Source organism: Homo sapiens, chromosome 19, assembly GCF_000001405.40.
Source record: "Homo sapiens chromosome 19, GRCh38.p14 Primary Assembly".
NCBI lineage: Eukaryota > Metazoa > Chordata > Mammalia > Primates > Hominidae > Homo > Homo sapiens.
This window is the reverse complement of record NC_000019.10, coordinates 37,754,433-37,767,296: the sequence shown is the minus strand read 5'-3', so window position 1 is coordinate 37,767,296 and position 12,864 is coordinate 37,754,433. Positions and strand designations below refer to the sequence as shown.

Below are 12,864 nucleotides of genomic sequence, written 5' to 3'. Positions count from 1 at the left end.
AGATCGCGCCACTGCACTCCAGCCTGGGTGACAGAGCGAGACTCCGTCTCAAAAAAAAAAAAAGGAATGAATCTCATGCCGTTTTTTATGTTGGCGAAGGGGGAACTAGGAGGAGGTTGAGGTCAGGAGGTGACTGGCGACTACAGATATCTGGGTGTCAGCAGGGGTCCGAGAAGGTTGCACAACGTTGTCCTCGGTCAGGTCACAATGCTCCTATAAATCTTTAACATAACGTTGTTACTTGTATGTACACCCTCCCTATCTCCTTGAGAATTATTAATAGTTTTGGAAAGGGATTATTATCCTTGCTTTAAAGTTATAGTATAAATTAAATACTCCCATAGTTAACTTGGCCAGCGTGCAGTTATGAGCAAACGCCATTAGCTTGTGAGGTTAGAAGTAAGATGGAGTCAGCTATGCTAGATTTATTTCACTGTTACACTTAATCGATTTTGATTCAGTTTATTTTATTTATTTTATTGCAAGACAACTTCCTGGGCAGTATTGTATGCATCATATGTTGGCACTTTTCCTGCTCCCCTCATACCAGACAGAGCTGGGCTTATGGTTTACTGTGTTAAAGGAAAACACCACCTCTGAAGAGCTTTATATAGTATCTCAGAGGCAGAAGGGCAAGGATGGCTTTTACTGAGAATTAAAAGTTTGGTTTAAGGCTGGTCTTCATGCGGGGACTTGATTAGGATTAGGTAAAGATGAAGACACCACAGTGGAGAATTAGTGGAAACAGCTAGGTTAGAATTTTGAGGTTAGGAATTGAAAATTTTCTAGAGTACAAACTGTTGATGTTTGCCATTTAAGAGTTGATGGATCTTTCAGGAACTTCCAGTAATGAACAATGAAGCCATTTGCCTTTGCAAGAAACTTCCAGAACAGTAAAATTGTGCTGAGGAAAACAGTGGGATGTGTTTATGGAGAGAGTAAGCTACCTGTAGGGGGATTGGTAGGTCCACTTCTCTGTTTCAAGGCTGAGTGTGGGAGTGAATGGTTTAGGTTCTCAGCATAAACCTTCTGGTTGTCTCTCTGTGATTTTTAGCAGTCATTTATGCTCAATGCCTGGATGTATTAATTCATCAGACATTCCAAAATGGTCATATTCTAATTCTAACATTTATTTTTCATTTATTATGTACAAATATAAACAATTTTTTACATCACCTACTATTTGGTAACTACTGATACCATTTGGAAAATAAAGGCTGATCAATATTTGGTCTTTTCTCTTTTCTTTTTTTTTTGAGATGGAGTTTTGCTCTTGTCGCCCAGGCTGAAATGCAATGGTGTGATCTTGGCTCATTGCAACCTCCACCTCCCAGGTTCAAGCCATTCTCCTGCCTCAGCCTCCCAAGTAGCTGGGATTACAGGCATGCACCACCATGCTCGGCTAATTTTTATATTTTTAGTAGAGAGGAGGGTTTTGCCATGTCGGCCAGGCTGGTCTCAAACTCCTGACCTCAGATGATCTACCGGACTCGGCTTCCCAAAATGTTAGGATTACAGACATGAGCCACCGTGCCTGGCCCCTAGGATCCTTCATAGGTAACTAGACAGTTTTTGTTTTTGTTTTTGAGACGGAGTTTTGCTCTTGTTGCCCAGGCTGGAGTGCAATGGCACAATCTCAGCTCACTGCAACCTCCGTCTCCCAGGTTCAAGCGATTCTCCTGCTTCAGCCTCCCGAGTAGCTGGGATTACAGGCACGTGCCACCACACCCAGCTAATTTTGTGCTTTTAGTAGAGATGGGGTTTCTCCATGTTGGTCAGGCTGGTCTCGAACTCCCGACCTCCCGTGATCCGCCTGCCTCGGCCTCCCAAAGTGCTGGGATTACAGTCATGAGCCACCACTCCCAGATTTAGACGGTTATTTTATTGCCAGCCTTCTCCCATCTGATATGACAAAGTGTTGCAGGCTTATCTTGTACGTTTCCTGTACCAAGCCTTTAGTCAGCCATAAGTTTGTGAACTATTGGGTTCTTTTAGTGGGAAATGGTATTTTAAGGCCACAGTCTAGCCTCTAGAAGTGCCCATTTTTCTTGGTTGAAGATTGTTATAGGCTTTTTACCAGTTAAAGATAGAAAAATCTGTAAGTGACTGGGTGTGGTGGCTCACGCCTGTAATCCCAGCACTTTGGGAGGCCAGCCTGAGGTCAGGAGTTCAAGACCAGCCTGGCCAACATGGTGAAACGCCATCTCTACTAAAAATACAAAAATTAGCCAGGCATTGTGGCGGCTACCTGTAATTCCAGCTACTGGGGAGGCTGATGCAGGAGAATCACTTGAATCCAGGAGGCAGAGGTTGCAGTGAACAGAGATCATGCCACTGCACTCCAGCCTAGGCGACAAGAGTGAAACTCCGTCTCAAAAAAAAAAAAAAAAAAAAGGCCGGGCACAGTGGCTCATGCCTGTAATCTGAGCACTTTCGGAGGCCAAGGCAGACGGATCACGAGGTCAGGAGATCGAGACCATCCTGGCTAACACAGTGAAACCCCGTCTCTACAAAAAATACAAAAAGTTTGTCGGGCGTGGTGGCGGGCACCTGTAGTCCCAGCTACTCGGGAGGCTGAGGCAGGAGAATGGTGTGAACCCGGGAGGTGGAGCTTGCAGTGAGCCAAGATAGCACCACTGCAGTCCAGCCTGGGTGAAAGAGCGAGACACCGTCTCAAAAAAAAAAAAAAGTGACTCATGCCTGTAATGCCAGCACTTTGGGAGGCCAAGGCGGGCAGATCACGAGGTCAAGAGATCGAGACCATTCTGGCCAACATGGTGAAACCCCGTCTCTATTAAAAGTACAAAAATTAGCTGGGCGTGGTGGCACTGGTCTGTAGTCCCAGCTACTAGGGAGGCTGAGACAGGAGAATTGCTTGAATCCGGGAGATGGAGGTTGCAGTGAGCCGAGATCGGGCCACTGCACTCCAGCCTGGTGACAGAGCGACACTCCGTCTTAAGAAAAAAAAACAACAAAAAAAAAAAACAAAAAAAAACTCTAAGTATACATATATGTATGTGTTTACATATTTACATAAAAATAAATTACCTAATGAGTTTATATGGCAACTTCCTGGCCAAACTTAGAACTAAATGGTGTTTAATTGAAATTTTCTGTCTTTGATCTGTATCTCTTATTCCTTAGTACCAATTCTCCAATACTCCAGTGATGATAAAATTAAAATACCATGCAAGTATTCATTTCCTTTATTCTATTTTTTTTTTTTTTTTTTTGAGGCAGAGTTTCGCTCTTGTCGCCCTGGCTGGAGTGAAAAGGTGCGATCTTGGCTCATCGCAACCTCTGCCTCCTGGGTTCAAGCGAGTCTCCTGCCTCAGCCTCCAGAGTATCTGAGATTACAGGCATGCGGTACCATGCCCGGCTAATTTTGTATTTTTAGTAGAGATGGGGTTTCTCCATGTTGGTCAGGCTTGTCTTGAACTCCCAAACTCAGGTGACCTGCCCACCTTGGCCTCCCAAAGTGTTGGGATTACAGGCATGAGCCACCATGCCCAGTCATTTCCTTTATTCTTTATGACACATAAAACATTCTTAGAACATTAGTAACAGCTTTACTACCTAAATGATTACTGAAAACAGTTTTTTAGTATGCCCAGTCTCCTCCCAATTTTTAGTTTCACTGTAATCATATTATGAAATATATAGTCATTGCATCATATGCTTTCTCCCTTATGACTGATATTTACTCTGTTTTTTTTGTTTTGTTTTGTTTTTTTTGAGACAGTCTCACTCTGTCGCCCAGGCTGGAGTACAGTGATGGATCTTGGCTCACTGCAACCTCTGCCTTCTGGTTTCAAGCGATCTTCCTGCCTCAGCCTCCCAAGTAGCTGGGATTACAAGTGTGTGCCACCATGCCTGGCTAATTTTTGTATTTTTACAAAATACAAAGGGTGGTCTCGAACTCCTGACCTCAAGTGATCTGCCCACCACGGCCTCCCAAAGTGCTGGGATTACACTCTTGAGCCCCGGTAACTGGCCCTGATATTTACTCTTAACCTAAGTATATATTTATAATATATATATATATAACTATAGTTGTTCTTGGGTATTTGGTGCTCAGCACCCTGTGGCATGGCTGCAGTGATTCATGCATATGAGACAGCCTTCCAGGAGCTCTCTTTTCCACAGGTGCTAGAGCTCAAGTGCTAGGAAATGAGATCCACACGGCAGGAGTGTGGGCCTCCCCTGACTTAAGAAGACTGGTTTGGCTGGGCGCGGTGGCTCATGCCTGTAATCCCAGCACTTTGGGAGGCCAAGGCAGGTGGATCGCTTGAGGTCAGGAGTTCGAGACCAGCCTGTTCAACATGGTGAAACCCTGTCTCTACCAAAAACATAAAAAATTAGCCGGGTGTGGTGGTGCATGCCTGTAATCCCAGCTACTCAGGAGGCTGAGGCAGGAGAATCACTTGAACCAGGGAGTCGGAGGTTGCAGTGAGCCGAGATCGCACCACTGCACTCCAGCCTTGGTGACAGAATGAGACTCCTTCTCAAAAAAAAAAAAAAAGACTGGCTCCAAAGGTTGGTACAATATCTGGTGTGAGGATTCTTTAGTCATCGTTTCCAGGGTCTTTCAAGGATATGCTCTTTTAAAAAGAAATGTAGTCAAAGAAACCCTAAATATGGTGTTCTCTTCATCTAGCCCCTAGTCCACAGTCCGAGGTGCAACTTGCCAATCAGGGTCATTGTTACCATAAATAATGAAACTTATTAACATAGTTGACACATTCTGTTTTTAGGGAAGCAGCATTGGAGAGTTAGCCTAAGAGTACATCCTCATGCAGAATGGGATTCCCATTCTGTTTAATGTTTAATTACAGAACATTAGAAAATGTTTTGTTAACCCTTTGCCCACATTACCCAAGTGATTTCACAATTCTCTAAGAATATTATCAAATATACAGTCCACATCCAAATTTCTCCCAATTATCCCAGTAATGTCCTTTTATAAATTTTAAAATCTAGGATCAACTGAAGGAACATCTGTCATACTTACTCACCAAATCTATTTAATATCCTTTAATTCAGAGCATCTTCCTTCATGAAATTGACATCTTTGCAAAGTCCAGTCCACTTGATTTCTTTTTAGAATGTCTACAATCTGCAATGTATTATCACTTCCTTATGATTAAATTCAAGCCCAACATATTTTGAAAAATTGCCCCCAGGTGATGTTCTATTCTTCCCATTGTATCACATGAGGAGACAATAATAGTTTGTTCCACTGGCAATGCTAATATTATAATTTGGTGAAATAAGAATTTGTGCCTTAGGCAATGCTAATATGATATAACTTGTTTGAGATGCTTTTCATAATTGTATCTGTCCGGGCCAAGGAAAAACTTCTTTTTCACCCTCTGAAGTTTCACTGAAAATCACTGACAAAAGGCAGATTGAGAAGAAAAGGCATACAAATTGATCTAATCATACTTTTTCATGACACAGGAGCCTTTAGAAAGAAGATCCAAAGGTACAGGGGAAATTACCTATTTTTATGCTTAGGTTTAACAAAGTATGGACAGCTATGTAGAAACAGGATTGGGCAAAAAGGGTGTGATCTAATGCTAATAGCCTGAGTAGGGAAACCCAGCAAGGCCTGTCTGTCTAGGTTCTTCTTGGCCTCTCAGAACACGTATTCCTTCCTTCCGGAATGGGGGACACTCTCTGGAATGGGGGTCTTATGACCAACAGTCAAACAAAGTAGGCCAGGGAATTTTTTATGGCCAGTTTTTACCCAAAAAGGCAGGGGAAAGTTAGAGTAATATTTTTAGGTTTTATGAGTAGCTCTGGGGACAAGGGGTTCTGGTTTCCATGACTTGCCTTGGGGAAGAGGGCTTCTAGTCTTTATGGTTAGCCTAGGGGGAGAATGGGACTGAGAGACAGGAGGGCAAGAGAAGGTCCGAGAAAAAACTTTTGCTTCTGAGGATGCTTTGCGGACTTCATTTTGTGGTATTATTTTGTGAGTCCCAGGAAAACAATACAGATATCCTATTTCTCCTCCAACTTTTACACCCCCTGATCCCCACCACAGATTTTAGCTTCCAACAGTAGATTTTGCTTATACCAGTTCTTTTTTTTTCCTTTTTGAGACAGAGCCTCACTTTGTCACCCAGGCTAGAGTGCAGGTGCAGTGGTGCTGTCTTGGCTCACTGCCACCTCCGCCTCCCAGGCTCAGGCTGGGATTACAGGCGCTGTAGCTGGGATTACAGGCTTGTGCCACCACCCCCAGCTAATTTTTGTAGTTTTTGTAGAGATGGGTTTTCACCATGTTGACCAGGCTGGTCTTGAGCCCCTGACCTCAGGTCATCTACCTGCCTCAGCCTCCCAAAGTGCTGGGATTACAGGCGTGAGCCACTGCGCCCGGCCTGCTTGTACACATCTTTAATGCAACATTTGCCTACTGATGATTTTGCATTAACCTCCTACATTTATTAGCTGGAAACATTTTTTTTTTTTTCTTCAGACAGACTCTTACTCTGTTGCCCAGGCTGGAGTGCAATGGCGCGATCTCAGCTCACTACAACCTCCGCCTCCCAGGTTCAAGTGATTCTTCTGCCTCAGCCTCCTGAGTAGCTGGAATTATAGGCATGCACCACCATGCCTGGCTAATTTTTGTATTTTTAGTAGAGACGGGGTTTCACCATGTTGGTCAGGCTGGTCTCGAACTCCTGACCTTGTGATCTGCCCGCCGCGGCCTCCCAAAGTGCTGGGATTACAGGCTTGAGCCACCGCACCTGGCCCATTAGCTGGAATTCTTCTGTAAGAAGGAATACTCCCTTTTTCCTCTATTTATTCAATTATTTATATCAATATGGACTCATAGATGTTTATTTTATTCCATGAGTTATAATCCTATACTATCCTTAGTTATTTGTCTTCTGCTTTGGCCATTGGGAACTCTTTCAAGTTGGCATCTGTGCCTTTTCAACCTGCTCACCTTTGGTGAGCATTTCTTATTTTCTGGTACTACAAGTTGTTAATCTAGGATTATCTTATATTTTCTTTGCCATAGCCCTGGAATCAGCCACTTCTGTAAGGAGCACCAGTTCCTTTTATTGGGAACGCCATTTAGAAATCCAGATCTAGGCTTAGGTATGGTAATTGCTCGTGGACCCTCTTCGTGCTAGGCCCTCTTAACTCATTGAACTGGCAGCTATGTACGTATGTGTGGCAATGTGGCCAATCACTCTGGAGTATTTTCCTGTTCTTTTGAAGCTGCAACACCAGAACATGCTTTATACAAATCTTAAAACTCCAAATCATGTATGTGAACAATGTCAGTCTTTATCGTTTGCATTTCTTATTGCTGAAGCTGAGAAAAATAATCTTCTCCATTTCATCTTGTCCAAATTTTACATATACTAAAGGAATTGCCACACTGGCAGTAATATCTAATCATTTATCCAGTTGCAGTGAAAATGAACAAAGACGAGTGAAGGTTGATACGCCATTATTAAATTAGGGTAAAGAAACCAACAACGTAAGTTCTACACTCTAACTTAAACTATAATTTTTATTTTCATTTTTATTTATTTATTTATTTATTTATTTTTTGAGACAGAGTCTCGCTGTGTTGCCCAGGCTGGAGTGCAGTGGCGCGATCTTGGCTCACTGCAAGCTCCGCCTCCCGGGTTCACGCCATTTTCCTGCCTCAGCCTCCCGAGTAGCTGGGACTACAGGTGCCCACCATCACGCCTGGCTAATTTTTTTGTATTTTTAGTAGAAACAGGGTTTCACTGTATTAGCTAGGATGGTCTCAATCTCCTGACCTCGTGATCCACCTGCCTCGGCCTCCCAAAGTTCTGGGATTACAGGCGTGAGCCACCGCGCCTGGTCTAAACTATAATTTTTAAAAAGAAATTTGAAAAATGATAGTTTTTAAAAACCCTTAAAACTAAATCTATGTTTGTATTTTATTAAATGTTTATAAACTTTTGAGTTACAGTTAAACTTCAGGTCAATTAAAATAGAGTTCTTTTACTTGATGTAAAAGAAATTGTTCTCTGATATTGCTATAAATTTCTAATGGTGCTATGTTCTTGTCAGAGATTAAGAACTTGTATAACACATAATTCTATAATATGTAATTATATACTTCTATATTGTGTGATTCGTTATTTTGTTTGTTTGTTTGTTTATTAGAGATGGGGGTCTCACTGGGTTGCTCAGCTGGTCTCTAACTCCTGGGCTCAAGCAGTCCTCCTGCATTGGCTTCCCAAAGTGCTGAAAATACAGGTGTGAGCCTATAATTAGTTATTATTGATATATTAGATATATTGATATATCAGCCTATAATTAGTTATTATTGATATATTAGAAAGCAACTGATTTTTGTCTGAAAATAGCAGCCTTCCTGATATATCTTCATTATTCTGGTACTTTGTATTATTTTGAGTTGGACTTACTTGTTATATGTTTATGATATTTCAAAATATTTATTTTTCTATATTTAACGATATTTTTCATATACTTCCTAGGGTGTCTATATACTGTTGACTTCCAAGAATTACCAGACATTTCTGTTCATCTAGCAAAGCTAAGCTTATTAGATTTATTGCAAAAAAGGGAGAACAACCTCTTGAAAGAGTAACAGTAGTATCTTAAAATAAGAAACCAGGAAACTTACTTATCAGGTTTTAGAACCAGACTGGGTAATTTTTTTTTTCCTTTTTTTTTTTTTTTTAGATGGAGTCTTGCTCTGTCGCACAGGCTGGAGTGCAGTGGCCCGATCTCAGCTCACTGCAACCTCCGCCTCCCAGGTTCAAGCAATTCTCCTGCCACAGCCTCCAAGTAGCTGGGATTACAGGTGTGTGCCACCAAGCCTGGCTAATTTTTGTATTTTTAATAGAGACGGGGTTTCACCATGTTGGCCAGGCTGGTCTGGAACACCTGACCTCAGGTGATCCACCCACCCCTGCCTCCCAAAGTGCTGGGATTACAGGCGTGAGCCACCGCGTCCAGCCTCTTTTTTTTTTTAAAAAACGTGCTCCACAGAAAAGTAGCAACTGGGTAATTTTATATATATATATATATATATATATATATATATATATATATATATATATATATATATATATATTTTATTATACTTTAAGTTCTAGGGTACATGTGCACAACATGGAGGTTTGTTACATATGTATACATGTGCCATGTTGGTGTGCTGCACCCATTAACTCATCCTTTACATTAGATATATCTCCTAATGCTATCCCTCCCCCCTACCCCCACCCCACAACAGGCCCCGGTGTGTGGTGTGTGATGTTCCCCTTCCTGTGTCCAAGTGTTCTCATTGTTTAATTCCCACCTATGAGTGAGAATATGCAGTGTTTGGTTTTTTTGTCCTTGCGATAGTTTGCTGAGAATGATGGTTTCCAGCTTCATCCATGTCCCTACAACGGACATGAACTCATCATTTTTTATGACTGCATAGTATTCCATGGTATATATGTGCCACATTTTCTTAATCCAGTCTATCATTGTTGGACATTTGGGTTGGTTCCAAGTCTTTGCTATTGTGAGTAGTGCCGCAATAAACATACATGTGCATGTGTCTTTATAGCAGCATGATTTATATTCCTTTGGGTATATACCCAGTAATGGGATGGCTGGGTCAAATGGTATTTCTAGTTTTAGATCCCTGAGGAATCGCCACACTGTCTTCCACAGTAGTTGAACTAGTTTACAGTCCCACCAACAGTGTAAAAGTAATTTTTAAGGCAGGTTTTGCAAAACAGAGCGAACTAATTGGGATGGGGCTGAGTCTATGACATCATAATTTTAGTGTGGGCCGGGCGCGGTAGCTCACGCCTGTAATCCCAGCACTTTGGGAGTCTGAGGCAGGCAGATCACGAGGTCGGGAGATCGAGACCATCATGGCTAACACGGTGAAACCCCGTCTCTACAAAAAAATACAAAAAATTAGCCGGGCGCGGTGGCGGGCGCCTGTAGTCTCAGCTACTCGGGAAGCTGAGGCAGGAGAATTGCTTGAACCCAGGAGGTGGAGGTCGCAGTGAGCCAAGATCATGCGACTGTACTCTAGCCTGGGCGACAGAGTGAGACTCTGTCTCAAAAATAATAATAATAATAATAACAACAATAATAATTTTAGTGTGGGTAGGCAGTGAGAGGTGAGATACTTGGAGCCTTGATGAGTAAGCAATTGGCCTTAAGAGGGGATTGTGTTGGTTTCACTTTTCAGTAACCCCCATTTTTCCATTTTTGGTCATCCTTCTGCTTGAGATGGAAGATAAACTTATGTGGGAACACTAGTTCAGATGTACAGTGCTGTTTGAGGTTATCATTGTGTTTTTAAAAGTTTTCCCTCATGGTTATTCTAATCTCCATACATTTCATATTTTTGTATTCCTTTTGTTGGAAGATAATTTGTTGGCTCATTCGATGGAACATATATAGTAGCATTGCTATATATATGACTGTATAGTAGCATTTTATTATTTTATCATAATATGAGATTATATATTGTATATATATAAAATGATATAGTAGCATTTTATTATTCTGGAGATCACACTTTTGAACAAACGTATTTAGGGAAGAATTGCAATCACAGTTTATAGTCTCCTAAATCAGGAGCCAACAGAGGCCAAATTAAAACAAAAGAACAGATTCCTTACCGAATGCAAAGAGCCATTATAACTAGGTAAGTGGGAGCATTCTGCAAGTTTCCTAATGTTATTGCGACTCTGTTTTCTGAGTCATTAATATTAGTAATATTAAAGATTCCACAGAGACCTCTAGTGATATAACATTCTTCCCATAAGACAGCACATAAGCCTGCCCCCTTAGACCAGCATTGCATCTAAAGCAGCTCTCTTTTGAGTGACCATGCCTGCAATTTTATGCACCTCCGTTGAGGAGTTCTGTGCTTTAATCCCATGATCTTAATCTACTATTTCTGAAACCGTATGTACAATTCTTAACATTTTTCAGCCCTCATAAAGCATAACATGAAGAGGTTTGGGGGAAGAAGGAGATGGCAGAATTTCCCTTCAACAGTAAAGTTCTTTAAGTGGCATCAGGCCCACGAAATCTCCTTGAATTAAGTGATCTAAAGATCTCTTATTCTGAGAAAGGAAGTTGGTAGGCCGACATTGATCCTAGGTAAAATAAGGATCAGTTTACTGAGATATAACAACTCTGTGCCCACTTCGCAGATAGGAGCCAACAGCCTTTTCACAGTATCAGTCATTAGGAGACAGCCAGACATCTGTTTTCCCTGCAGGCTTCCCTGAAGGGTCAGTGGTGGGATAATACAGGTTAGCGTGTTAACCTAAGCGAAAGAGCACAGGGTTGAGCCCAAGTAGTGGGCTTTTCTTACAAGGTTTATAAAAGTGATTAATTTCCTCATGTTATTCTTTATTTCATGTATTAGGAAATTTGCCTTTTATTCTTACTGCATTGCCTCATTTAACTTTTTTTTTTTTTTTGCGAAGAACCATTTTGCAGTTGTTTTATATTTTTCTAAATACAGTAAATCATTTTTGCTCTGATTTTACCAATGCCTCTTCTGTTGCATCAATTTATTTTCTTTCTGATTTTGAAATTTGTGAGTCATAATTACTCACTTATTTTCATTCTTTTTTGATCTCTTCAGTATTTAAGGCCATAGATTTTGCTTTGAGCACAGATTTTGCTGTTCTATCTAGTTATATAATGTTTACACAGTTATAATTTTAGTTTATTTTGGCCCCTTGCTTCAGGTCAATTAAAATAGAGTTATTTTACTTCATGTAATAGAAATTGCTCTCTGATACTGCTATAAATTTCCAATGGTACTATGTTCTTGTTAGAGATTAAAGTCTGTGTTCCTAATTCTTCAAGAACTTGTTGAAATGTCAACTCAACAAATTGTTGGCGCTCTATGTGGTTAGATTTCCATGAATGCTCTGAGGTCAATGTTTTAAGTATTCTTTGTCCACTTGAAATAAAGTTTATTATCAGAGATAAGCATTGTAATTAGATTTCATCAGTGCTTATTTAGATTTATTCCATTGGGCCAGGTGCGGTGGCTCACGCCTGTAATCCCAGCACTTTGGGAGGCCGAGGCGGGCGGATCACGAGGTAAGGAGATCGAGACCATCCTGGCTAACACAGTGAAACCCTGTCTCTACTAAAAATACAAAAATTATCCGGGCGTGGTGGCAGGGGCCTGTAGTCCCAGCTACTCAGGAGGCTGAGGCAGGAGAATGGCGTGAACCCGGGAGGCGGAGCTTGCAGTGAGCTGAGATGGAGCCACTGCACTCCAGCCTGGGAGACAGAGCGAGACTCTGTCTCAAAAAAAATAAATAAAATAGATTTATTCTATTAATTTGAGACTGTTATTCTTTACCTCTAATTAGTTACTTTTTATTTTTAGAAATCTTTTAATTCTTTTTCTTTGAAAATTGATTTGATAGTAGGTGTTATGTTGTGTGGCTGTTCCTAACTTTTAAATTCATTGTTATTTCATTGTTTAATATTATGGAGTGCCATTTGGTCTATTTTGTAATTTGTTCCCTTAATTCAAAATTTTTTGATATCAAGATTAAGATACCTTTTTTTAAACTTTGCCTTCTGTACCCTTTCTCATCATTCTATTTTAGAGTCTTTTTTTTTTTAAATGAAATCTAGAAATGGATTTTTTTTCTGGAATGCAAGCAAAAGCCATTTAATAGAGACTTTCACATTTTTACATTTATTGTATGACAATTTTTGGTTCTTTTTGTATTATGCTTTCTGGTTTCATTTTTTTTTTTTTTTTTTGAGGTGGAGTCTCACTTTATCACCCAGGCTGGAGTGCAGTGACATGATCTTGGCTCACTGCAACCTCTGCCCCCCGGGTTCAAGCGA

At 40.9% G+C, this 12,864-nt stretch overlaps 1 protein-coding gene across 5 annotated transcripts in view; it reads left to right on the top strand.

Moving 5' to 3' along the window:
* ZNF573 (zinc finger protein 573) overlaps window positions 1–12,864 on the top strand; it is a 41,285-nt gene that overhangs the window by 12,290 nt on the left and 16,131 nt on the right. The window contains exons 6-7 of one of the 5 annotated variants that reach the window (NM_152360.4): window positions 8,158–8,250; window positions 8,701–8,821. The exons of the other annotated variants lie outside the window; for them this stretch is intronic. Of the exons in view, the coding sequence (NP_689573.3) occupies window positions 8,701–8,821 (121 nt within the window). The 5' untranslated portion in view covers window positions 8,158–8,250. The remainder of the gene's footprint in view (window positions 1–8,157; window positions 8,251–8,700; window positions 8,822–12,864) is intronic. 5 annotated transcript variants of the gene reach the window in all.